Source organism: Homo sapiens, chromosome 8 (assembly GCF_000001405.40).
Source record: "Homo sapiens chromosome 8, GRCh38.p14 Primary Assembly".
NCBI lineage: Eukaryota > Metazoa > Chordata > Mammalia > Primates > Hominidae > Homo > Homo sapiens.
This window is the reverse complement of record NC_000008.11, coordinates 118,645,237-118,672,628: the sequence shown is the minus strand read 5'-3', so window position 1 is coordinate 118,672,628 and position 27,392 is coordinate 118,645,237. Positions and strand designations below refer to the sequence as shown.

The window sequence follows — 27,392 nt, the reverse complement described above, 5'->3', positions numbered from 1 at the left end:
TTACACTGGTGAGAGTTGTAAGATGGGTTCCTTCATACACTGATGGAAATTGGGGTTTATAAATTACCAAAACCTTTTACTGAAGTATCCCTGGACACTTTTTTTAAAAGTTCATGTTTTATAGTTTGTTAACTAGTCTTTGAACTTACTTCCATTCTATCCTAGTGAATGATCAAAGAAAAACACAAAGATTTATGAATAAAGCTACTTGTTGCAAGATTACTAATTGTGCTGTGAAATGGTAACAACAACAGTCAGGAATTGGTTAAATTAACCAATTTAGTTGACCTAAAATGTAAAACATTAGTAAGTCATTTAAAATCAAGTTTTTCAGAAAAACATTCAAAATACTGTTGACTGGTGCACTCCCAGAGCCTAAAATAGTACCTAGTACATTATGTTAAGCCCTCAACAAATATTTGCAAAGTGAAAGAATATAAGAATATATTGAATCAAAAAGAGTACAAAATCGTTTGTTTCATTATGATCCAAATTCTCTTGAAAAAAGGACACACACATGCACAACATACACACACACACAAACACACATGCATACCTACATATATCTATACCCCGACTTAGGCCTAGAAAAAGGCCTGGAAGAAAATACACACAATTATTTACAATGGTGATCTTTGGGTGGTAGATTTGTGCATTGCTTTTGTGTCCTTTGTTTCTTTATTTTTCAGATCTTCTACAATACCAGTTACTTAAATACAATAAATATGTATCAGTGCTGTAATCAAAAAGAGCTATATTTTTAAGTGGCAAGACAACTGCATACATTAGAAAGGTAAGTCACTATTCTTTTTGGTGACATTTCCCACTGGCCTTTACTTCATTTCTCTATTGGATCTCTTGAGTGTGTATGGGATCAATCAATTAATTTAGTTTAACAAACATTTGTTGGCTGGACATGGTGGCTTACACCTGTAATCCCAACACTTTGAGAGGCCAAGGCAGGAGGATCACTTGAGCTCAGGGATTTGAGACCAGCCTGGGCAACCTAGTGAAACCCCATCTCTACCCAAAATACAAAAATTAGCCAGATGTGGTGGCACACACCTATAGTCCCAGCTACTCGGGAGGTTAAGGTGGGAGGATCACTGGAGCCCTGGAGGTTGAGGCTGAAATGAGCCCTGATCACCCCACTGCACTCCAGTGTAGGTGACAGAGTGAGACCATATCTAAAAAAAAAATTAAAGTAATAAAAATAATAAAAGAGTAAACACTTATTGATGCCCTATTAGGTGTCTGTCTAATTTGGGGAGACATAAATGAATAGTATACCACTTTTATTAAAGATATAGTTAATATAAAATATCATTTTATATATTTAATATAAAAATAATACAGTGAAGATACAACTAAAGAAACCTTTGAGTAGTTGGAGCCAGTACCATAAAGGAAGTAAGTGGACATAGGTCATCATGGGAGCAAAGATAGGAGTGACTTCACCAGCCTGGGAGAGATCAGAAGGAGCAGTTAAAGCCATAAGAGGAAAACAAGGAGTGCCCAGGATTCCAGAAGCCAAGGGAAGAAAATGAGAGGAGGAGGCCAAGTTGTCATGCTGCCAAAAAATTGAGTAAGACAACACCTGAGATGTGAAGTGAACAGACAGCATGGGTCGCTTTGCTTTTGGGTGTGTATTCTTGTCACATCTTCATCTCTAACCAAGGAGAAATGATAAATGGCATGTCTACTGCCTCCTCCAGCCTCAAGGTTAATTTACCATCGCTCAATCTAACTCTCATTTGTGAGTGAACCTCCTTTCTCTTGGTTATACCTTCACAACCTCAATCACTCCATTCTACACTCTTTCCACATCTCATAACTTCCAGCTTTCTTTCCAAAGAAACACATCCCATGATGCTTTAGAGATTTTAAGACATTTGAAGACAGGGAGCTTATAATTTAAGCTGCAGAAGAGGGTCAATTCAAAGGGGATTTAAGTAACTGGTAAATGGTAACTTTTGAGCAAGATCGGTAGTCCTTCCCTGCTTTTTATCAATTTGGGCACTAAAGATGGATGTTCTTACTGCCAAGTCCTTTGCATTAAAAAACACTGGGTCCAAAGGGAGTAGCCCAGAGCAGAACCTCATTTCCGGTGGGGTTCATGTCAACATACGCTTTACTCAACAGCTACACAGATATAAATATTATCAATATAAGACCATATGATCAAGAACAGCTTAGTCCATGTTTGTGGTATAATGTCATAGATAAGCAATGCAAGTGGGAATTTTATTTACTTGTTTGTTTGTTTATTTATTTAGAGACAGAGTCTTGCTCTGTTGCCCAGGCTGGAGTCCAGGGGTGCAATCTCAGCTCACTGCAACCTCCGCCTCCCAGATTCAATTGATTCTCCTGCCTCAGCCTCCCGAGTAGCTGGGATTACAGGCAACCGCCACCACGCCTAGATAATTTTTGTGTTTTTAGTAGAGATGGTGTTTTCACCATGTTGGCCAGACTGGTCTTGAACCCCTGGCCTCAGGTGATCCACCCACTTCGGCCTCCCAAAGTGTTGGGATTACAGGCGTAAGCCACTGTGCCCAGCCAGAATTTTATTCTTAAAACACAGAGATCAGAAGTAACTCAGCAAAATATAAATCTGCTAGCGAATGTGTGAGCCAAAGAATGCTAATTTTATGGGATTATTATAATAGCTGTTATAAAAAATGAAAACTCTGATTGAAAATTCTGGGAAATACTGGGTTAGAAATGTTTTTACCATTGTCTTTTGTATGTGTGTGTGTGAGACAGGGTGTCACTGTCACTCAGGCTGGAGTGCAGTGGTGTGATCATGGCTTACTGCAGCCTCAACCTCCTGGGTTCAAGCAAGCCTTCCACCTCAGCCTCCTGAGTAGCTGGGACCAGAGGATTGCACAACCACGCCCGGCTAATATTCTTTTTCTAATTTTTTATAAAGGCAAGGTCTTGCTACATTGCCCAGGCAGGTCTCAAACTCCCAGGATCAAGCAACCCTCCTGCTTCAGCCTCCCCAAAATGCTGGAATTACAGGTGTGAGATCCCATACCGGGCCTATCATTATCTTTAATGTGTCCAGGTGAATTAGATTTCTCCAAAAGGATGATAAGATATGTCACACTTTTCAAGTTTATTGGACCACAGAATCTCTTTGCATAGAGTAATTTTCAGGTCTAGGGGTTTCTTTAGAGAACATAGCTTTAAAAATCATCAAAGCATATTAGAAGAAATTGCTAATTTTGGTTTAGATGAGATTTTAGAACAGCTGTCTTCAACTGTGGCTGCATATTAGAATTACCTGCAAACCTTTAAAATCCCAATCCCAAACCATACCTCAGACCAATTAAATCGAATGCCTCAGGCTAGGACACAAACCTCAGTATTTTTTAAGCTCCCAAGGGGGTTCCAATGGGCAGTATAATTGCAAGCCAGTGCCATCGAATCTCCCACCAAGGCAGGAAGCTCTTTTTCAGGATCCTTGATATCTTGTGCTAGCTCTTCAATTATGGGGAACCTGGATGCTCCCATGAGACAGTAAAACATTCCTCTGCTATGTTTAACACAAAATGAAGCACTTTGTGTCTAAGACTGCATTTATCTCAATAATATATTGCTAAAACTGTAGAGCACACGCTACATTCCTATCTTCCATCAAAAAATAAATGGCCAATATTTTTTCCTTAGTTGTTTGAACATAGTGTTCCCGATAAAATTCACACATAGAGAAAAAAACAAGCTTCAAATGTATTAATAAAGTTCTAGCAGCTAATATTGAAAAGTAGATATCTAGACAGAGAATGCAGAATATTAACTGTGACATGTAATATTTAAGGGCAGAAAATTTTTATTAATATTTATATACCTAATATGTACAATCTAGAAATCTAAATAGCAGAGATGCTTTTTGCATTATGCAGACATAGGCCCAGTAAATCTAACCAGCCTCCTGGGTACAAAGGAAGACTATCTTAAAGGTAGACACTGACACCAAAGATTTTGCCAATCCGCATTGGTAGGAGCTTTAATTAACTTTACTTACAGTTCTCCCAAGTATTACTTTGCTTCTTCTCAGTAAATTCTTTGGAACCCGTGTTCTGTTGTAACGCACTGCTTTCAGTTGAATAGTTAAAATGAAAATACTTGAACTCCAGCAACTCTAGTCGTACAACCAATCAGTCAAAATCTTGGGACCTAGAAAAGACAAAGCACTGACTGAATCCACCAAAAACCAATTTCTCAAGTGACACCTCAAAAAGCAGTGTTCGGCTGGGCACGGTGGCGCACGCCTGTAATCCCAGCACTTTGGGAGGCCGAGGCGGGCCGTCACTTGAGATCAGGAATTCAAGACCAGCCTGGCCAACATGGCAAAACCCCATCTCCACTAAAAATACAAAAATTAGCCGGGTGTGGTGGTGCATGCCTGTAACCCCATCTACTCGGGAGGTTGAGGCAGAAGAATCAGAGGCAGAGGTTGCAGTGAGCGGAGATCGCACCATTGCACTCCAGCCTGGGCAACAGAGTGAAACACTGTCTCAAAAAAAAAAAAGCAGTGTTCATGATTTGAGGTGATTTGATATGTTATAGGTCATCTTGTTAAAATGCATAATTATTTAATCTTTTGCTACTCATGGATTTAATGTAAAATTCTCATCAAACAAACAAAAATAGTGCTTTATCTTTAAAACTGAAAAGGCTTATGACAAGGTAGTTGCCTTGTTTATCTGAATTATAAAACTGAGCCCAATTTCAACCTGACTTTCTAAAATCAGCTATCTGATCTTAGAGTCACTAATCTTTACTTCCTTTGTAATCCAATTTCCTTTATTATTTGCATGGCTAATGATGGTTTTGATTAAGGAATTAGGGATAGAAATGATAATGCTGTATAATTAAGTATGCAGATTTGGAGCTTTTTGCCTTTAAATGCAGTGTATTCAAAGAGCCAGATCTTGGTACTAGGTAATTTGTCAAATTATGTATTATACTATCAACATATTAGGATAGTAGAGGAGCTAAGAATTTTAGGATTATCCCCTGTCCAGTGGCTGGTGATACATAAATATAGCAAATGAATCTAAGATCTTAAAATAAAACTTATTGAATTAAGTATTAGGTTTAATAGCCCCATAAAACATCACTGAAAGAAAAATATTGCAAACTACATTGCCCGATTTCAATGCAGCAATTCATTGAACTTTGTCTCTCTAGAAAAAATAAATATTGCAATTACTTATCATGACAAATTTGAATCTAATTTAAATGATACTCCTACACAAAACTGATAGTTTCTATAAGAATGGAATAATAACTTGGTCCGTTGTTTCTAACACAGTTGATCAGATATTTTGAAACTTTGAAACAAAGACGGCCTTAGGGAACGTTTGGCATTGATGCTAAAGAGGAGGAAACACAGAGAAAGAAGCTGAGAGGATAGGGGAAATCTGCTGCTGTGTTTACTTTGGTGGTTGGGCTGCTGTCCTTGCAGAAGAGGGACTAGACCTTCTCTGATGTTTCTGAAGGTGAGAGACTGTATAAAGATAAATTGTAGAACAACATAAGGAAATATTTTCTAGTAGCAAAAATTATTTCAAGATGGACATCCTCCAAAAGGAAGTGAGCCTCTCATTAAGGCAATCAACCCCAGGCTTCATAACCACAGCAAGAATATTGAAGAAGACATCTGGCATCAGAACTAGAGCTCAATTGGCTTACTTCTTTTTAAGTTTTTTCTACCCTGAGATCCTACAATTTTATGTGATTAACTACAGTTAATTGGGCTTATTGAAAAACAAGGTATTTAGTTTAAATAAATCATTTGAAATATCAGAACTCAGAATCAATCTAAAATAAAAACTTTTAACCCAAGGAGCAGACACTAAGAGACACAAAAACAATGAAAAGTGTTGTAAAAAATATTTCTTTCTTTTTTTTTTTTTTGAAACAGAGTCTCGCTCTGTTGCCCAGGCTGGGGTGCAGTGGCGCAATCTTGGCTCATTGCAACCTCCACCTCCTGGGTTCAAGCAATTCTCCTGCCTCAGCCTCCTGAGTAGCTGGAACCACAGGCGCGTGCCACCACGCCCGGCTAATTTTTTGTATTTTTAGTAGAGACAGGATGTCACCATGTTAGCCAGGATGGTCTTGATCTCCTGACCTCATGATCTGCCTACCTTGGCCTCCCAAAGTGCTGGGATTACAGGCGTGAGCCACCACACCCAGCCTGTAAAAATATTTTTTATTAAAAATATGTACCTAGGTCAGGCATGGTGGCTCATGCCTATAATCCCAGCAATTTGAGAGGCTGAGGTGGGAGGATCACTTAAGCCCAGGAGAGCACAACCAGCCTGGGCAATATAGTGAGACTCCATCTCTACAAAAAATAAAACATTAGCCAGGCATGGTGGCATGTGCCTGTAGTCCCAGGTACTAGGGACGCTGAGATGGCAGTGTCACTTGAGCTCAGTGGGTGAAGGCTGCAGTGAGCCCTGAGCTCATTGCACTCCAGCCTGGGTGACAAAACAAGACCCTATCTCTAAAAAAAAAAAAAAAATTAATTAAATATGTACAAATATGGTCATATTTTTCTATATATAGTCATGACTTTTGAAAATCTGTACAAATATGGTCACTTTTTGATAATTCACATTAAAAAATAGAGTACAATATAGTTACATGCTTGTTTTCTCTAGATTGTGTGATTATAGATAATTTTTATTTTCTGCTTATGTTAATATATTTGTTTTCTAAATAAAGCACACAGTTAGTTGAGAAATAACAAGTTTTAGTAAACTATTAGAAGTATATTTTGACATATATGTACATTCATAGAATACAGTTAAAAACTGAGACAAATAATTCTCCATCAAACCTCTCTTTGAGTCCAGCACTATGGCTCATGCCTGTAATCCCAACACCGTGGGAGGCTGAGGTAGGTGGATCACTTGAGGCCACCTGGCCAACATGGTAAAACCCTGTCTCTACTAAAAATAATAAATAAGTAAATAAATACAAAAATTAGCTGAGCGTGTGTGGTAGTGCGCGCCTGTGGTCTCAGTTACTCAGGAGGCTGAGGCAGAAGAATCCTTTGAACCCAGGAGGCTGAGATAGCACCACTGCACTCCAGCCTGGGTGACAGAGTAAGGCTCTATCTCAAAAAAAAAAAAAAAAATAGAACTTCCCTTTGACCTCAATTATCTGGCTATTGTAAAAAAAAAAAAAAAAAATTACATTCCTAAATTATAATTCTTTAAATTTGTCCTTTCATTTCTCAGGGCAGAAACAGCCTATGCATTTCATCATCTAAAAGTTCATACAAAATAACAAAATTCAGCATTCTGAACAAATTTTACTTAAACTGAGAGCATTACATTTCTCATTATGTAAATGTGTTCTGAGGGATATTTTAAATTTTATAGTATTTTAGTATAAAATTAAATTATTATTGATAATTATTTAGTGTTATAATCTCAATAGCTATATTAATTATTGGTATAGAAAAGCCTCCAAATTAATTCTGGCAAAATTAATCATTTTTCAAACTATTCAAAATCAAGGTAATAACCACATGGTACAAATACAGGAAAAAAAAGATAATTTATTTTGCTACTGCCTGCTAGTATCATGCAATAATACCTATGAAAAAATTCACAATATCTGCTGTATACCTACCATCTATGATCACTATTTTAAAATCACAGTTACTTTCATTTAAATGCTATGACTAAAATTTTAAAACATCACAGATGGCATTAGGATTCAGACTTCACATGTTCAAGATTATTTGAAACTTCTAGAAACCACTATATGAGATAACTCAGCTTCGAAATAAAATTTCTAGTTTCTATCAGCCTCACCCAATGTGTGACTTAATTAATTGTTCTAGAAGGTACAATTTTGGTGTCAGGCCAAATAAATTAGCATGCCATTAAGAAAAATCTGATTCTCCTCCCCAGGTTAGCATCATATACCCAGGTGGGCACACAACTAGAAGCAGCTACTTTTGGAAAAATGGTTGTGATTGTCAAATGCTTTTGCCACCACTTGCTTGGTTCCCTGCATTCATATTCTGTCTCTCATCAGTACCTGGGGCTGCCTGGTCCCCTCATCGAAACTCAGCTCTATTCTCTAGGTTCTATGACTAATTGATCCTTCATCAGAGAACACTGAGAGAATCCCAATTTAGAACTCAATAACAACTATGGAGTCTGCTCAACTCTGGCCTGTGTTTGGTCTTTTGCCCTACTTTTGATGTTCAGTCTTTCAATCAAGACGCCCATCTTTCATCTCCGTGCTGACAAATGATTCCTGTCTCATTCTTCTGCACCTGATTGTCTGCTTGGATGCATGACTGGGAAGCCAATCTCTCTGAAGCTGGAACACAACTTTGTCCTTGTGCTTGGTAGAGGTGAAGTCTCTCAGATGTTTAAAAAATGGTGCACACACGCAATTCCAAAAGAGTTTTTAAATTGTGATATTCTTTAAATGTTTACTTTGAATAAACTGTTTTTTATTCAATAGATTCTATTTTGGAGACTTGGTGTAGAAAGATGTTTTTAACATGCAAAAAGTTCAACACAATATGATTGTGTTAGTCACAAGAAAATTATAGAATTAATTTCTAAAATAAATTCAAAATGCATTACAAGAAATGTAGCAGGAATGGGACTCCGATATAAAATGATACAACCAGTGACTCTACACTCTGATCACCTATGCTTGTTTGTGTTCTCTCTTTAAATTTTTTTCATCTGCTCATGTATTTTCTATGCATGTATTCTCATCGGGAGATGTACTGGATGATGTTCCTTAGTCCCTGCAAATCCACTCATCACCCCTCTACCCTGCTCTGTGCTGAGGCTGACTTGTAGAAACAGCTCACCATGCTCCCTTGCCCATGGCTTCCTGTTGAGTTTGCCAGTGCAGAACAGTAGCAAGAGGTTGGGGGCTAGTGAGATTGGGTCAGAAATATATGCCCCTAGCTCTAACCTAGCTGGGTCACCATGGGCTGTCTGCCTCTCTCAACCTACACTCAGAGCTCATACAGGGTTTCTTCTCCACACAGCTTCTGTCTCCAAGTTTTGCTTATAGCTCTCCCCTGCAACTCTTCACATCTGTGGATGGTAACAGCTCCCCCACTGTTCTACCTCCAGGGAAATGCACTATCCCTTGCAGTATCTCTATATATGGTCAACACCTTAATAATAGTCCCTTCCTTAGGCTCTCCAAAAATTACTCAATTTGACAATGGCATTTATCTCCTGATACAACTCTGACTGATACAAGAGATAAAGCAAAAATTCTAAACTTAAGGGTCTACATAAATGTAAGATCAAATTACCTTCCTGGCTTTGTTCCGATAGCCCTGGGTTTCCATTCCTTATGTCCTAAAACTGGAGTCCTGGCTCTGACCTAGGCTTGTGGCTAATTACTTCCAAGCTAGAACTCCCAGTTTCAACTTCGGTGAGTTTTGTGCTTCTGGTGCCTCCTTTACCAGGCTTTGCTGCAGTCAATGCACCACTGTAACCTATGTCATCCTTCAACTGCATGACCATCTACCATTATTTGTCCACATGCCCTTAATATACCTGCCTGGCTAGACCTTCTCCCACCTCTGGAAAGCACTTTGCACTGCATGGACCTGCTGCAGCCTAGTAGAATATATCTCCGCTTTGTCCTTCCATCCTATTGAATCAAATACTCCAAGTCTCATCCACATCTCAACAGATTCTATTTTGGAGACTTCGTGTAGAAACAGTTTATTTGTTCCCTTTCACAATTACTATGACATCTTTTCTTCATGAATAAAAGTTACAGTGGAATATACATGTGTTCACCATTCACTTTCAGACGTGTGGTTCACTATGCATTCTCTTACTTGCCTCCCCTAGTATGGGGTATCCATAGCTCTCCTTTCAAGCCTCTACTTTACTAAATAAACATTCAGTATAAAGTCCTTTACAAAAGTCAATATGGCTCTGGGGCCTTGATCAGTAGCTACCATTACGACTGATAAGAATCCAGGAACACACTTGTGATGCTGGTAGATATTTAGGAGAAATGGGCATTCTGAATGCGCCCCCATGTGGTTGGGCCATACCGATTCATTTTATCACAGGTAAAGCAAGAAAGCCGCTCAGAATTGTTTTGTTTCTGCAGAGTCTACCATCCGCTTTGCTGTTCTCTATTAAAGCTCTTAGAATTTCAGAAAAAAGATTTGTAGTTAGCTTGAGTGGCACTTAACTTTAAATTGTTTTAGGAAAAGCATAGAAACTTTGCACCCTCGGAAGGGATGGAATGAAAACAAAACATGTTGGGGGTTTTATACCAGGTTGATAATATAACTGAACCCCTTGAAGAGACAGGTCAAGAACTTGTGTTCTACCAACACTGACCTGGATGGTTTTATCTAGTCTCATGGATTAACTACAGACTCATGAATCCCAAATTCAAATCTTCAGCGCAGACCTCTTGCTGACCTCCAGACTCACTACAGAAGTGCCTCCTCTACAACTCCACACAGATGTCCACCACATATCTCACACTGATATCCAAACCTGAGATAATGCTCCCCTACTCTCCATCTGTTTCTCCTGAAATCTTTCCTGTCTCACTAAATAACACTTCCATTCTTCCAGGTATACAGTTAAAAGAAATCTGGATTACTCCCTTTCACATCCAACCTCTTAGCACATTCTAACAGCTCTTCTTTCTAAATATGTAAAATGAAACCACCACTGGCCATCTCTACCCCTATAACCCTGGTCCAAGCAGCAGCATGTCTTGCCCAGATGAACACAGTCTTCGATCTATGGCTGCCCTGCTTTCACATCTGCCCCTACATTGATTCTATGCTGAGCAGATAGATGTTTGAAAAAGGTGAGTCAGATCATGTCACTCCTCAGCTCAACCTTCTGCAGTGGTTTTCCAATTCACACAGTATAATATTTAAATTCTTTACCAAGGGCTTATATGAGGCTTGATGGCCTTTGACCCAAACTTTCCCTGCCTCTCCCCTGCATCTTCCTGATGACATCTCCTGTCATTCTCCCTTACTCTCTCTGTTCCAGCCACAGGGGCATCCATGCTGTTCCCTAAAAGCACTCCTACTTCAGGAACTTTGCCATGATTGCTGGAAACACTCTTCCCCTGACATTTGCCTGTCTTGATCAATCATTTCCTTAATATCTCAGCTGAGATGTAACTTAGAGAGGCCTTTTCCTGCTCATTCTATAAAATAGTGTCTCACTCGTATCATTCCTTATCTTGATTTATTTTTCTGATATAATCTAATATATTTTTGGTTTATTATCTGTCTTCTCTTGGATAATGTAAGCACCTTGAGGGTAACAATTTTGTATCCTCAGCACCTTCAACAGTGCTCAATATAGAATAGGCACTCCTTATATATTTGTTGATTGACTAAATGAATGAATGATGTACTCTTTTGTTCCCAGTCTTCCTTCTAATGGAAGTCTAAGTATTTATTTATTCTAGCACATTAGCTGGAACATATCAGACCTTGATCCAGGCATTCACAATGCCCCAAGAGTGTGAAATCTGGAGTTAACCATCCTTTAAAAATTGGCACTGCCTCATGGGCATTTTATCCTTCCTTATACCAAGAATGCTGGAAAATCCAGATTGAGTGATTACAATGTTCTAAGGAGCCATTTGCTGTTCATAACATTCTTTAAAAAACAGCATCTATGGAACAAAGAGACTGATGCAGTGTAGAGATACATTATCCTGAACAGCTTAAGATGGCTTCCAGGAATAGGCTGTACTGTGTAATAGCACAATAACCTGTCCCTTTCTCATTAAAAGGGGACCGAGAGTGCAACTGACACCACATATTAATTTTTAAAGCTCTTTCATGAAGTTGTTCTCTTAGGCTCCAACTGTGGACTTCAAAAGCAAATACAAGATTCTAAAAGAGAATTTCTAATATCTCAGCAAATAATCAAAATATCCCATGCTTTCTAAATGTGGAATTAGAAAATGAGGTAGAGGAAAACAGGGAAGAAATTGCTCCAGAGAAAATAGCACGTGAATTTTAGACAAATCTTTACTTTTTAAGAATTAATGAACTAAAAGATTAGGGACAGAGCAAATATCTTATCATATTTGTTATGTGTCGGGTAGATAAAGTGTTTGACTCCGAGGAGGCACTGAATATTTGGTATTATTTAATCTACATAAAATCAGTTAAGATGATAGACTTTGATGTCATATACACATGGGGTTAATCTGGGCTGTTAGTAATTAGCTACGAGACTTGACCAGTCACTTAGCCTCTTTGATCGGTCATTCTCCTATCCAGAAAGTGGGGGTACTAATACTCTCCACAATGGAAGGATCGAGGAAAATAAACAAAAGTATGTGTGTAGTGTGGTGTCTAGCACATACATAATACTAACAGTAGATAAAGTAGCATGTGTTACAGGAGGAGAATGAGAAGGAATAGAGGGGATGTCCGATGTATTCAGTAATTACTCTTCCACTCCTTCCAGTCTCCACTCAACTGTCTATAGTATGTGATTCGAAGAGTTGCTGACAAAGTGAAAGGCTTTGGACTCTTGTTTCTTATGCATTATGGAGGGAAAATTATTTTCCTCTATTTGTCAACTGATTCACCACCTGACTTCACTCTGAACTTAGCATGCCTTCCAGAGTTTGATAATGCCACTCTTCCCCTGGGAGCACACGCTCGCCTTCTTAGAATTAAGGCAGATACATCCCTTGGTCATTCCTCTACTCCTGCCAGATCCCCCGCTTGCATTAGATTGGCTCTTGTACCCTTGATACTCCATTCCAAGCACCTCGGCTGCTTCTCCCCTGCACTCTGTGTTCCAGTTACAGAATAATCCACACCACTCCCTGAAGAAAGAGGCCAGGACATTTTACAGCTCATGACACTTGAATGTGCTGATCCCTCTCTGTGTATCAGGTTTATTCTTCAGGATCACCTCCCTGCAAAGATCCTGCTGTCCACCCCCACGAATCATGAGAAGATAATTTCTGATTCCTTTACATCATCTGTATGCCTTATTATAACTTCATTATGACTTTAAGAAACTATATTGCAATGATTGATTCATATGGAGCAGAGGATTAGGGTCAAACAGACATAATTTCTAATTTCAACTCCTCACTTACTATATGACCTTGAGGATATTATTTAATGCCCTTAATTCTCAATTTTCTTGCCTGTAAAATAGAAATAATAATATACCTCAGAGGATTATTATCAGAGTTCAATGAGATTTTGGAAATTGATGTGTTGCCAATGCCTGCCACATACTAAGTGTTTTAATGCACAGTGCCTGGCACATAGAACTAAGTCATTCAACCAAAACATATCTGTACAACAGTTATATGTTGGGCTTTGCGTTAGAAGCTTGCAATTCAACAGAAGTAAGACCCAGTTCCAATACTCAAGCTCAGAGACTTGTTGGGGTGGGTTAGGGAGTGCTGGTTCAGGGACAGATATGGCAGAGCAGGGCATGAAGTAGGTGGATGGAAAAGGAAACCTGCAATCATGACACAGTATAGTAGGTGCTACGATGGAGCGGGATTACATGTGAGTGCACCCATTCATCTCTTGGAGGGGCAAAAAGTCTTTACAGAGGCTTTAGGATCCAAGCTGAGACCAGAAAGGTGAATGGGAATTAGCCATACAATGTTGCTAATAGAGGTGGTAAAGTTAGTGAGTGGGATGGTGCCAGGGAAGGCAGAGCACAGGGGATATTCTTGGCAGGCAATGTGCAGGGCTCTGGAAACAAAACAGACCATACTTAAGTTTAAAGAGCCAACAACATTTCAGAGCCAACTGTTTTAGCTGGAGACAATGAAGATAACCAATAAATATTGAATTAATTAATTAGCTAAGTAATTGATTAACTGGATTCTTCACCCTTCCTACTCTTGCGAAGCTCTTATAGTGCTTTTCAGCTACTTGCCACATGCATTTGAAGACTTGTTCACATCCAGGATAATACAGTGATTAAGAACAAGGGCTCTGGATTCAAGCTGCCTAGGTCCAACCTCATCTCTGCTACTTACTAGCTGTGGGACTTGAGTTACTTATCTCTAGTTTCTTCTCTTGTGAAACATAGAAAAAAACCGTTGACTCCTTACAGATGGTTACATGCATTTAGTTAATAGTATGGTAGAAGGAACAGACCAATTATTCAATAAATGTTAATAACACGGCATGTATTTATTCGTAAGTTTTTCCTGTGTGCACTTCTTGTCTCATGACCAGACTGCAAGCTCCTTAGGGTCAACATCACAGTCTCAAACATGTTCCTGATAGGACAGGGAAGTGCTGTTCAAAGATGCTCAATAAATATGTACTGCCAGTTCTATTAGTACAGGCAGTGTAGCATTGTGCTTAAGAGTGTGAAAACTGGAGCCAGACCTGCCTGAGCATAGATTTGTAGTTCTGCCATCTTCTGCTTCTGTGGTCTTGAGAAAGTTACTTAACCTCTCATTTTCCCAGTTTTCTTATTTATAAAATGGGGATAATCATAGTAATGACCTCATTGGTTTGTTAGAAGCATTCAATGGGTTAACATACAAAACTCTTAGACCAGGGCTGGTATTTAGGAGCTGGTATTATTATTACATTGTTTGTATTTGTAGCATTAGAACAGGAAATCAGGAATGAGATGGTAATGCAAGATGTCTAATGAGGCAGCCAACCTAGAGCTATAATGGTATAGAAACGTGTAATTGTGTAAAATCACCTGCACATATGCGCAAAGATATATTCCAAGCTCATTATATTAAAAGTAACAGTGTCTAATGTAACAGGCCATTCCCTCTGCCCTGTATCTGATTTTTGTCATATTGATCTTGAGTCCAACAGAATCTTGGCTTTAGTCAAGCCCAAGTAAGAGACTGGCGTGCTTTCCAGAAATAAGAAGCCAAACAACAAAAGTCTGCATTTTAATATCCTGATACCAATAAATGCCTATAATTATGGCTTTAAAAATTTAGATATTAATGATTGACCTAATCCTAAGAGACTCAATGCAATTTGAACCATCAAAGTCAGTTCTAAAGCTGGATCAAATCCACTTACCCATTCCTGATTTAGAGCTTATGGATTTTATTCTTCTAAGGATCTGTAATCCAAATATCTCATTTGAGGCTCACGAGCAAAGATGCAATAAAGTGTGCAGAATGCCAGGAATTCAAACAGGAAAATTCCTAACTCCTTAATTAAAGTTGCAGGGATAATGCTTCCTGCATGAATCAGATTCATAAAAGTATAATAACAACTACAGATTTATAGCTGGACAATGGATATATGTCATACTCTGAGATACAGCTGAGAACAGAGTTTGTTAAAGCTGAATTATAGCAAATGCCTTCAACTGAAAAATGTATGCATAAAATATTAGCTATGATACACACTTAGAATACTCTGCAGTATAGTAAAGACAGTTTCTTTTAAAGCTTATAAATTAAGACTGCTTTCTTTCAAGTGAATTACAATTATCGATTTCTTTTTTAAAGTGGGTGAGCATTTATCTCATGCCTATTTCCTATAAAAAGGATGTGTCTTTAACCTTAAGATTTTCCTATGTAACGTTCTCTAGTTCTTGGACTACAGGCACACAGCTTCTATAAAAATGAGAAAGAAATACACCTCAGCCATTACAACCGGTAATTATTATGTTAGCCACCAAGTGCTTCTAGGTATTCTTTGATTCAGTGGGCAGGTTTACAAGTGTTCAGAGCATCTTTTATTTTCCTTTCATATTATTTTAAGAAAATCCAGGTAGCAATTGCCTAGGCCATAAATATTCCTTGGACACCCACTATGAAGACATACTTTATTTTCCTCCAAGCTAGGAAATGAAAGAAGAAAAAATTTGAAAGCATTTGAAGGTACAATTTTCATTAAGAAACTTAGGGATTTGAGCTCATAACTCACATCTCCAGGAAAGGGAGGCTATTGGGTGGAATAAGCAACCCCCTAGGCCTGCATGGGGATTCTGTCACTTAGCTGGCAGATGATGGAGTGAGTTTCAGTTCTGTCATTTGTCAGATTTGCAATAATATTTAGCCTTTGTAAATTACCAGCTCCCAAGATCATGTCTCTAGTTTTTGGTTTTTTCTTCCCTGAAACTTGGCTTTGAGTCCTACCAGTCTACTGACTTGAGTTATTGCTGAATTTATCCAAAACTCATCAGTTTTTGCTTCATCACCCCCTGGCCAGAGCATGATTCATTTAAGCTTCTTAATTATATACATATATATATATACACATATATATACACACATATATATATATATTCCCCCTTAAAAATATATACCCCTCTGTGTGTATGTATTTACATATACACATGTATACACATGTATTTAATGCTGTTTATTAAAGGATACTCTCTAATAATTAGACTTTAAAATTTTTTTTATTTGAAAGTTGTTACTCTTTGGATGTATTTGAGATTCCCATTCTGTTTACTCAGAAACTCAGAAAAAAATTAAAATTTATTAAAGGAAATAAAATTCATTGATCACCACTTTTCTCTGTATACTTCTTTAATATATATTTTTCCTTCTTTTTTCTAAATGTAAGAATAATGTACATGTTTGTGGCAAATTTTGAAACTATGGAAAAGATAAAAAATAAAATATAAAATTATTCCTAATTTAGTACCCTGAGATGATCACCATTAATATTTTGATATTTTCTTTTAGCACTTTTCTATGTGCCTTCTAAGAGCATTAGGATTATAATGCCTATAGGCAACTTTGGATACTCTCGTTAAAACATAACATTGTATCTAAGAACTTCTCCATTACCATATTCTTTGAAAATCTAATTTTTCATGGCTGTATAATACACTCTAATATGAATATACTCTAATGAATTTAACCATTTCTATCTTGTTTTACTTTAAGATGGATTTAATTTTTCCTTCTTATGCCTAAATCCTTTTTCCCATCTCTGGTTATTTACTCAAAGTTTCCATAAGCCCAAATACTGTGTCAAAAGATATTTTAGAAGCCTATATAATTCATATTATATGGCAGATACTGTTAACTTTAATAATATTGGTTTATTTTATCCTTATAAGAGATCAGTACTATTATAGGTTATTGTAAATTATTTTACAGATGAGAAAGTTGGGGCAGTGAGATTAAGTAACATCCTAAAATCACACATGAGTATGTAATGGAATTGAGATTTGAATTCAAGTACATGCTCCTAACTAGTATTCCAAGCTGTCTCTTAAGAAAATTTGCTGGGCTTTTGATAAATATTATCAAATTTTATAAAGATCATACAACACACATGGGAGAGGACTTATTTCACCTAACATCGCTTTTCATTTGCCAACAAAGAATACTATTGTGTTTCATATCTGTCCCCAAATTGTAGATCTTAAATTGGTGTTTATTCGATTCAGCCATTTTATTGTAAAATATGCTCTTTGGGAAAATAGTACTACGAATATAGTTGGAGTTCAACCGGTATTTGTTGGTTGGTTGATTAATTGATGGATTGAGAAAAGGGAAGAATTAATTTGATTCAGATCAATAAGTATTGATTCAGTCTATTTGAATATAGACTAGCAGGCCTGAGAGAGCTGTGTGGCTACCTGAGCTATTACAAGCAAGGCAAATATCTGTATATTCAGGAAAACTCAAGCAGCCATGCTTGTGTTCAGTGGAGTTCCTTTTCTAACTTAGATACAAGCTGATAGATGCTCCCTCAAGATGCCTACTGTTCCTGAAGGGTCAGACAGAAAGCAATTAACAAACAATGCAAAATTGTATTCAGTCATGAGCTAAATGAAACACAAATGTTATAGTAGATCTGAGAGGAGAAAAAGCTCCCAAAAGTACCCTGAGCTGAACCCCAACAAACACTGTGAGACTAGTCTTGTATAACTGTATTAAATTAGTTGAGCACTCCATCTGAGGAATGGTGAGCCCACTCTTTTGGATGAAATCCTAATATGGGAAAATAGAGATACATTCAAATGGCCACATTGTTAACTGACTTTTATTTTTAAGCAAGAAATGCCATATCTACAACTGTACCTAGTCATTTTCCTTTCCACTATCATAATTTTATTTTATGTCAAAAATGTAGAAACTACATAAGTAGCCTGAACTACAGTATGGTTATATGCTGTGCTTTTGAACATATTTTGAGTCGGAATAAGATAGATTGATGCCATGTGCATCAGCTAATCATGAAAGGTAGCTTTTCTAGTTGCCCTTTATAATAAAGTATTCTTTAAATTAGAGATTATTTTTCACTGCACGGGCTATTAACAGTAGCTTTATACAGAACTACTTCTTATGTTTGTGGGAACATGAGATTACTTCTAGACACTTTTCTTGAGTGCAAATGTTACAGCCTTTTAAATACTATACCACTTCTTAATTATGTTTTGTAGTTGCTAAGAGAAACATAATTATAGAATCAGTAAAAAATTTTTAAGTATTAAGACACAAACAAATCCATTTCTTCCACTAGACACCAAAAGCACAATGCCTAGGGCCTATAAAATTTTCAAAACTCACATGCACACAAAGCAACAAAAAAAGTATCTAGTTTATAATTGGAAAAGGAAATTGCAAAATAGGAATTAGTAAATGCTACTATTAAATCTACAGAAGGTATCATTTTTAACTATTCAAAGACAAATCTTAAGACAGTTATATATAAATTAAAATGTTTCATTTCCCTTATGAAAATGTATTTGATATGATGTGGGCCTCCAGAAGTATGAGAGCCTAAGGCTTGCAAAGATCTTAAATTGGCCCAGAGTTTAAGGAGGTAAATCTGACTGATGAAGCTGTTTTCCAACATTGCTTTATTAAACATGGTTTTCATTTCTCCATTAAGTAACATACCAAGGTACACTTACAGTATCAACAGGTATTATAAAATTCCTACATCTGTCTACAGCCTTGATTAATAAAGGTCCGTTGCTTCAGGTATTTGCTTCTACTTAAGATGTTTGCTTTATGGTTTCCTCTAATTTAGCCACTGCTTATTTTTCATCGAGTATATAGTTGCAATCTGCTTTTTGCTCAGACCCTGAAAGAAACTAATCACTGCTCCTCTCCAGTAGCCATCCAGCTTGTGGAACTTTGTTATGGCAGTCCTATCAAACTAACACATTTTTCTCTAGGTTGAAATTCCATATTCCAACAAGAAGGAAACGGATCTATCTTGATTCAGATGCCTTTAATCAACTGTGATCCCACGGGCAGAATCATAACTTCCGCAGACCAAGTGTATATATGAGAGAAAGGGATGTCTTTGCTTGATCCCTAGAAAATTGAGCCAGAGGAAATAATTAAGAGCTGATGCTTTATTTCGGAAGTACAAAACCACGGCAGTGAGGGTGAGGACAAGGTAGCGCTACCATACATCCCCATTTGCTTTAGTCTTGGTTTACACCTGGTTGTCCCGGTAGGTTGCTGCGAGGTGATGAGCAAATTCATCCATGGAAGAGGAAGGCCTTATGATCTCCTATGAGGAGACACAGGGTGATACTCCACAAATGGGGCAATATCCTTTCCTTCAAGAAAGACTATGCGAAGTCAAGTGACCCAGGGGTTCACAGGACTAGGGGTCAGGATCCCACATACATAGTTTTGTTTTTGTTTTTGTCTTTCATTTGGCTTAAGAATTTCTATGTAATGCTAGGTTTCAAAGGCATCTAGTTTGGGGTTTACCGACAAATGTAAGTTTTTTATAGTTACGCTTTTATTTTAATGTGTATTACAAAAATTAGCATTAAATATGCAAAATAAATGTACCTAATAAGAAATAAATGAATTATTTAAAGAAAAAGATCCAGTAAATAATAGTACAGAGAGCACTGCTGCAAACATTGTGGGGGTGGTTCACAAAAGAAGTTCATTCATAAATCTGCATGCAACATGGGAGACTGGCCGTGGGCAGTGGTTCAACCTGGCCTCGAACAGCTCCAATGACTAGGTTCTTGTGCGTCCCTTCTCCTGGTGCCTCAGCCGGGTCTTTCCTCTTCTTCCTCCTTGCTTTTTCCCATTAGTCCTGATTAAATCCTGTGGAGTCATATAGAATTATTCTGTTGCTCCTGCTCCATATCTGTCCTTCCTATATTTGAAGACAATCACAGCCTTCTTCAAACCTTCTTTTTCTCATGTATAACTATTCCTGTGGCCCTTCCTCATTGAGAATCTTTTCTCTTGTCTGTCATTTTCTGAATAAACAGAAAGGATGCCCAAATGTCATGAGCAAAGATTTCTCATGCAACCCACTTGTGTAGAACTCCAAGAGACTAATGAGTCTCTGCTTTTAATGTAACTCAAGTATTTAAAATTCTTGCATAAAAATTATTTCATTTGATCCCCTCGAGTTACAGATGCAAGACGGGCCGGTGTTGGTAGCCCTATTTATTAGACTAGAAAACTGAGGGATTAAATTATTAGTGATTTTAGTTTAATTAGAAGACAACATTCCTGAGCACAAAACGGAGTCTCCACACACATCTGTTGCTTTTTTTTCTGCTATTTATATAGCCTCTTCTGTCATATAATTCACAGTACAAAATATAAGATAGGGCAGATAGATCCTAAGACAATGGAGAAGAAGAAGAAAAGAAGTAAAGTAGAAAATTAAAAGAGAACATATAAGGGATATGGAGTGGGTTGGTAGGCAAAGCAGAGGGAAATGGGTTTGAAAGAGAAATAACACTTTATTTGAGTATTTTATAGTGGATTGTCTTTCTTCATATTGGCTGTTGAACTTGATTTCCCTAAAGCAAGGGCCTGCTGCTTGTGTGGTACTAGGGAAGCCTCTCAGAAAATGCATATTTTCCCCAGAAGGACGAGCCTCAGGTCTGATCATTTGCTAGAAGGATTTACATGACTCAGCATACAGTTGTACTTACAGCTAAGAGCTGTTACAGTGAAAGGATATAAAGCAAAATCAACAAAAGGCAAAAGTTTGTCATACAAAGTCTGAAGGAAACCAGATGCCAGCTTTGAAGGTGTCTATCCCGGTGGAGTCACACAGGACGTGCTTAATTCCTCCAGCAACGATTGTTACAACATGCCTGAACTGTCTACTGGGGAAGCTCGCCAGAGACTCAGTGCCCAAGGTTTTTATTGGGAGATGGGTCCCTTAAGAATTCATTGTCTAGCATGTACCCAATCCAGAATCCCAGAAGGAAAGCAGGTGTTCAACATGAATGAAATTGTACAAACAGTTCAGGCACACCGAGCCATTTTTGTCAGTGAGGGGCCATTGATATCAGTGCAGGAAACTGTTTACCCAAGCTTCCAGATGCCAGTCAAGGGCCAGTCTAAGGATAGCAGTCTCAGGCCTGCTTTGTTAACTTTTCTGCACACACAGTAAATGCTCCATCCACCCAAAAGCTTCACTATACTCTCAAGTTGATTACAAAGAATTTCTTTTTTTCTCTTGGGAGAAGGGAATCCAGACTGTCCTAATATAGAAATGCAAGTCATCAGAAATATACTGGGATAGTAGATAAAGGAGAATGAGTGATACCAAGTAAATAATGAGTAAACCCATGTGACGGATGCACAAATCTATAGTTTCCTCAATGATCCTTAAAGAATGTTATTTCCCAATCCCACATGACAGCTAGTGCTTGCAACTGAGATATTTCTGCCCCTTAAATCTAATCTAAATCTTTCCTTCTTATTGAACTAGGTCTTTGCATTCCCTGTGGAAGTTCAATTGGTGACAGCATTACACATCATCAGGATCTATGATGACATCTATACTGGGGTGTATCCCTAAGAAGAGAATATTTGATCCTTACATTTCAAGAGTTCTTAAACTTCTACACATAGAAAATAAACATAATAGATTCAGAATACTTGAGGAAAGTATGCCAAAATCCAGTTTCTTTCAGAGAAAAGTTAGGCACTGATTAGCTGTGTCTCCTTGAGCAATTAAACCTCCAAGCCATTCTGGCCAACATAGTGAAACTTCATCTCTACTAAAACAAATACAAAAAAATTAGCAGGCCATGGTGGCACATGCTTGTAGTCCCAGCTACTCAGGAGGCTGAGACAGGAGAATTGTTTGAATCCGGGAGGCAGAGGTTGCAGTGAGCCAAGATCACGCCACTGCACTCCAGCCTGGGCGACAGAGCAAGACTCCATCTCAAAAAAAAAAAACAAAAAACCTCCAAGCCTTAGTTTTCTCATCTGTAAAATGAGGGGATCAAACTACGTGCCCTCCAAGATTTCTTCTGACTGAAAAACTCTCTAAGTCAATGGGTTTTTATGATTCTGTCATGTAAACTGCCATTGGCATTGTTTATAAGTCATAATGCCTTTGATTCGAATGTCTTTCCTCCATTCAGATCTAGGGATAGGAAGGACAGAGGGGCAGAGAGCTTGGGGGTAGAGTTGGGGAGCAATGACTTCAAAATAAAAAGTTGTGGGAACTCAAAGAACATCTAAGTAAAACAGGAGTCCTCCAAATATCCTCCCTACTCAGAAACTTATATTTGGATCACATAGAACTATTTCCTGTGCTCCAGCTGAACTTCCCTTTCTTGGTTTTTAATAATAAAGAAACCAGCACATTAATTTTTAAAACAGGAAATAATAGGGCAAAGACTCCATAAACAGCTGAAATGTTAATCACACAAAGGCTCCCAAAGCAATTTCGCTCTGGACTCCTCATGGTTATGCATTACAATAGGAATTTTCATCAAAACACTGACCCTAGGACTGGCTGCTGGGCAAATGGCACCTAGGGCAGCCTTTATCCCTGTGCCAGCTCTTGAAGGAACAACCAGGGCAGAATGTTTCAGAAGAGCCATTGCTTAAGATGGTGCTGGTGGGCTGGGGAATGAGAAGCAGTACTTAAACCATGTTGACTAGGTAGCCTGCTTATATTATCACATATCACATATTTCAGTGATAATTATCATGTTTGTTTTATAGACAAGAAAAATGAGGTACAAAGAAGGTAGGTAACTTCCCTGAAGTCACACAACCATACAGTGTATTCTTCATTGCTGTGTTCTTGCTGCGTAACACATTAGCATAATCTCAGCAGTTGAAGGTCACACAAATTTATTATCTCACAGTTTCTGTGGGTCAGAGTCCAGGTACAAGTTATCTGGGTCTTCCACTCAGGATCTCACTGGGCTGAAATTGAGATATTAGCCAGAGCTGTAATTCTAACCTGAGTTTGATGTTCTCTTTCAAGCACATTGGTTATTGGCAGAACTCATTTCCTTGCACTTGTATTACTGAAGTTTCTTGCCAGCAATCAGCCTGGGACCCTTCTCAGCTAGTACAAGTCACAAGTGGTCCTTGTCGGGTGACTCCCCATGCACAGTTCACAGCATGGCTATTTACCCCCAGGCTAGCAGGTTCATATCTCTCCAATGTGCCACTCTCTTTAAAGGCTCCTCTGATTAGTCTGTTCTCACGCTGCTAATAAAGACATAGCTGAGACTGGATAATTTATAAAGGTAAGAGGTTTAGTTGACTCACAGTTCCATGTAGCTGGGGAGGACTCACAAACATGGTAGAAGGTAAAGGAGAAGCAAAGTCACGTTTTACATGGTGGCAGGCAAGAAGGCTTGTGTAGGGGAACACCTATAAAAGCATCAGATCTCATAAGACTTGTTCACCACCATGAGATTAGTATGGGGGAAACTGCCCCCATGATTCAATTATCTCCACCTGGCCCCACCCTTGACACATGGGGATTATTACAATTCAAGTTGAGATTTGGGTGGAGACACAGCCAAACCCTATCACACACCCAGGATAATCTCCCTATATTAGTCTGTTCTCATGCTGCTAATAAAGAGATACCAAAGACTGTATAATTTATAAAGGAAAGAGGTTTAATTGAATCACAGTTCCACATGGCTGGGAAGGCCTCACAATCATGGCAGAAGGCAAGGAGGAGCAAAGTCACATCTTACATGGCAGCAGGCAAGAGAGAATGTGCAGGGGAACTCCCCTTTGTAAAACCATCAGATCTCAAGAAGCTTATTCACTATCATGAGAACAGCATGGGAAAGATTTGCCCCCCATGATTCAATTACCTCCCACCAGGTCCCTCCCATAACACATGGGAATTATGGGAGCTACAATTCAAGATAAGGTTTGGGTGGAGACACAGCCAAACCATATCACTGCTCTTTGGTTAACTTAAAGTCAACCTCCCACGCATAATTACCCAACCATCTTTCCATAGCCCCTACACTCCCACACACATATGCATTCATAATTCTTCTGTCTAATGACTATTTATTCTTCAGTTCCTATATTAGGCAACACTTCCTCTAGAAAGCCTTCCTCAGTGTCAGAGCTTTGATTTAAAATGTTCATCCTAGGTGTTCCCATAACATTCTATGCACTTCCTAGCACAGCATTTATCACACCTCTTGCACCTGTTTTTTTTTAAGCTACTGGAAGATACAATATAGCCAGTTAAGGGACCAGGGTATCTTTTCACTCTTTCATCTCCAGTGCTTTCCAGATAGTTAGTATGTACTCAAAAAATATTAGTTGAACAAATAGATGAAAGACACAGAAGCAATCTTTTGGGTACGAATACTGGAAGAATATTAAAGGCATCATAGGCTCAATAGAAACTAAACTGCCCATGTGTTCCAGAGCCTAGTGCCTTCACTGGGGCAACTGATATAAGCATTCTTACTCACGTGTGGGAGCTAAAAGAAAAAGTTGAGCTCATACAATTAGAGAGTAGAATTGTGGTTATTAGAGGATGGGAAAGGTAGTGGGGAGAGATGGCTAGAGAGAGGTTGGTTAATGAATATAAAATTACAGCTAGACAGGAAGAATAAGTTCTAGAACTTTATAGCTCTACAAGGTGACTATAGTTAACAATAGTTTATTGTATATTTTCAAAAAAGCTAGAAGAGAGGATTTCAAATGTTCCCAACACAAAGAAATGGCAAATGTTTGAGATTTTGGATATGCTAATTACCCTGATTTGATAACTACACATTGTATGCATGTATCAAAACATCACTCTGTATCCCATATGTACAATTATTACATGTCAATGAAAATATAAAAGAAAAAAAGCATTAGCAGAGAATTTTTAAATATATGGATGTGGCACTACTTAAATGAAGATGAGAATAAAAAGAGAGACCCTTTTTAAAATTAGTTTGTAATTCTGATTTTTTTGGTTGGAATCATACTCCAGAAATCAGAACTGCTTTCCATAGTTGGCCATTTCTAGAATGCAGGTATATCAGTTCAGGAAAGGTTAGGTTTTGCTGCAGAAACAAATGATTCCCAAAATTGCAGAGGCTTAAAGCAAAGGTTTATTTCTTGTCCATAATACATGACCATTAACTGTTCCAAATATTTGTCATTCCAGGACTTAGGCTGATGGAATATCTTCTATCTCAGATATGATCTTTGGCCATCAAAACAAACAGAAGAGACATGACAAATCTAAAATATTCGTTCATCTTTGAAGTAACATCATTTCCATCTACATTCCACTGAATAAAGTAGGTTCATATGAGCGAGTTCACTCCTGAGTACAACAGGGCAAAGACATATAATTCCCCCACAAAAAGAGGTTCTTCAAGGAAGGAAAGTGAATTTTTGAGAAACAGTAATATGATTCATCACATCAGAAATCAACAGGCTACAAACTTCTGTTCTGCACATTTGGGGTTTCCCTTTGCATTTGTTAGAAATTAAATTTTATGGCCGGGCGCAGTGGCCCATGCCTGTATTCCTAGCACTTTGGGAGGCCGAGGCGGATCATGAGGTCAGGAGATCGAGACCATCCTGGCTAACATGGTGAAACCCTGTCTCTACTAAAAAATACAAAAATTTAGCCAGGCATGGTGGCGGGTGTCTGTAGTCCCAGCTACTTGGGAGGCTGAGGCAGGAGAATCTCTTGAACCCAGGAGGCAGAGGTTGCAGTGAGCTGAGATCGTGCTACTGCACTCCAGCCTGGGTGACAGAGTGAGACTCGGTCTCAAAAAAAAAAAAAAAAAAAAAAAAAAGAAACGAAATTAAATTTTATAATACTTCCCTGAAGTTGGAGAAAATCATACAAGTTAGCATTTTAGAGGAAACAGAAATAAAGCATGCTCAAGTTAGAAAGGTCCTTACAGTTCATGCAGTCACACCGCCATATTTTATGAATGAGAAACCCAGCTCAGAGAAGCCAATTAAGTTCCCCAAAGCAATCCAGAATTATGTAGAGAGTTAAGACAAATTCCCAAAACACTAGTCTCAGAACTTACAACTATTCTTCTATTGCCTGTCCATGGGATAAGCCAGCTTAACATCTGTGAGTCAGATCCAAAGCTACACATAGCATAGATATGGTTCCTGTGCTGGAACCTGATTTATGGTCCTGCTGAGAGAACACCCCAGTGCAACGAGTTACAATGGGCTTTTCTCAAACCAATTCTCCTCGCTCTGTTGAGAGAGGCTGTAATTATACTCACTTCTTTCCTTGTTTTATAGTTTGGTACTGACATAGTGAGAACATCCACAATAAAAATGTCTATGGGGCTTTGTTTCCTTTTGTATAAATTCATTGTCTGGAATCTAGCAGCCACATGTCTTGGTGATTTATCAGAATTAGTCCATTTAGGAAGTAATGCCTTGCTCAACTGAAATCTGTTCTCTTTGTTTTACCCAAACCCTAGTATTGTCATGAAGCTTAAACTAAGCTCTCATGTCTATTTTAAAGTAAAACAAAAACAACTCTTTGATCCTTGGTCAATTCTTACCCTAAAGCCTCTCTGTTCAAACCATTTTTGTGCTTTATGATTGTTAATGAAAATCATTATTTATCATCATTTTATCTTCCACCACAGACATTCCATCTAATTTGACAACATAATCTGATTGGCCATTTCTTAGAGATGGCAAAATATATATTGGAAGAGAGAGCTATTTTTGATACATAAAGTATGGTTTATCTAGTCTTTCATCTTTGGTTTTTAATATAAGCTTTTTAATGTATCATGAATTTCATGTTTTTAAAATCTTATTTATAAAAACAGGGAGTACATAATCTAATGTTCTCAAACCTTTAAGAAGAAGATATGTGTATATCAATGCACACTATTAGCATTTTGTTCACTCTCAGTTTGAATCCATTACTTGATCATCCCGTGTTTTCTATTTTTTATTTATTAAGGGTTACATTCTTTCTTTGAATATAGTCATGGTATAGATGCACAAGGTTTAGTGCTAAGAACTGAGCAAATGATAGACATATGAAGAAATTGTAGGAGAGATTGTACTATTCTAAGAAATACATACATACACACGTACATACATACATACACGTTCACTACCTTCAGGGAGGTTAGAATCTAGGTTTTTTTTTTAAAAGAGTTCCTTGAACTTTCAGGGCTGGAGTCTGC

The 27,392-nt window shown here is 38.0% G+C and overlaps 1 long non-coding RNA gene across 1 annotated transcript in view; it reads right to left on the bottom strand.

The window, feature by feature from the left end:
- SAMD12-AS1 (SAMD12 antisense RNA 1) overlaps positions 1-27,392 on the bottom strand; it is a 105,067-nt gene that overhangs the window by 53,439 nt on the left and 24,236 nt on the right. The window contains exon 3 of the long non-coding RNA NR_038210.1: positions 4,028-4,179. This is a non-coding gene — a long non-coding RNA (SAMD12 antisense RNA 1). The remainder of the gene's footprint in view (positions 1-4,027; positions 4,180-27,392) is intronic.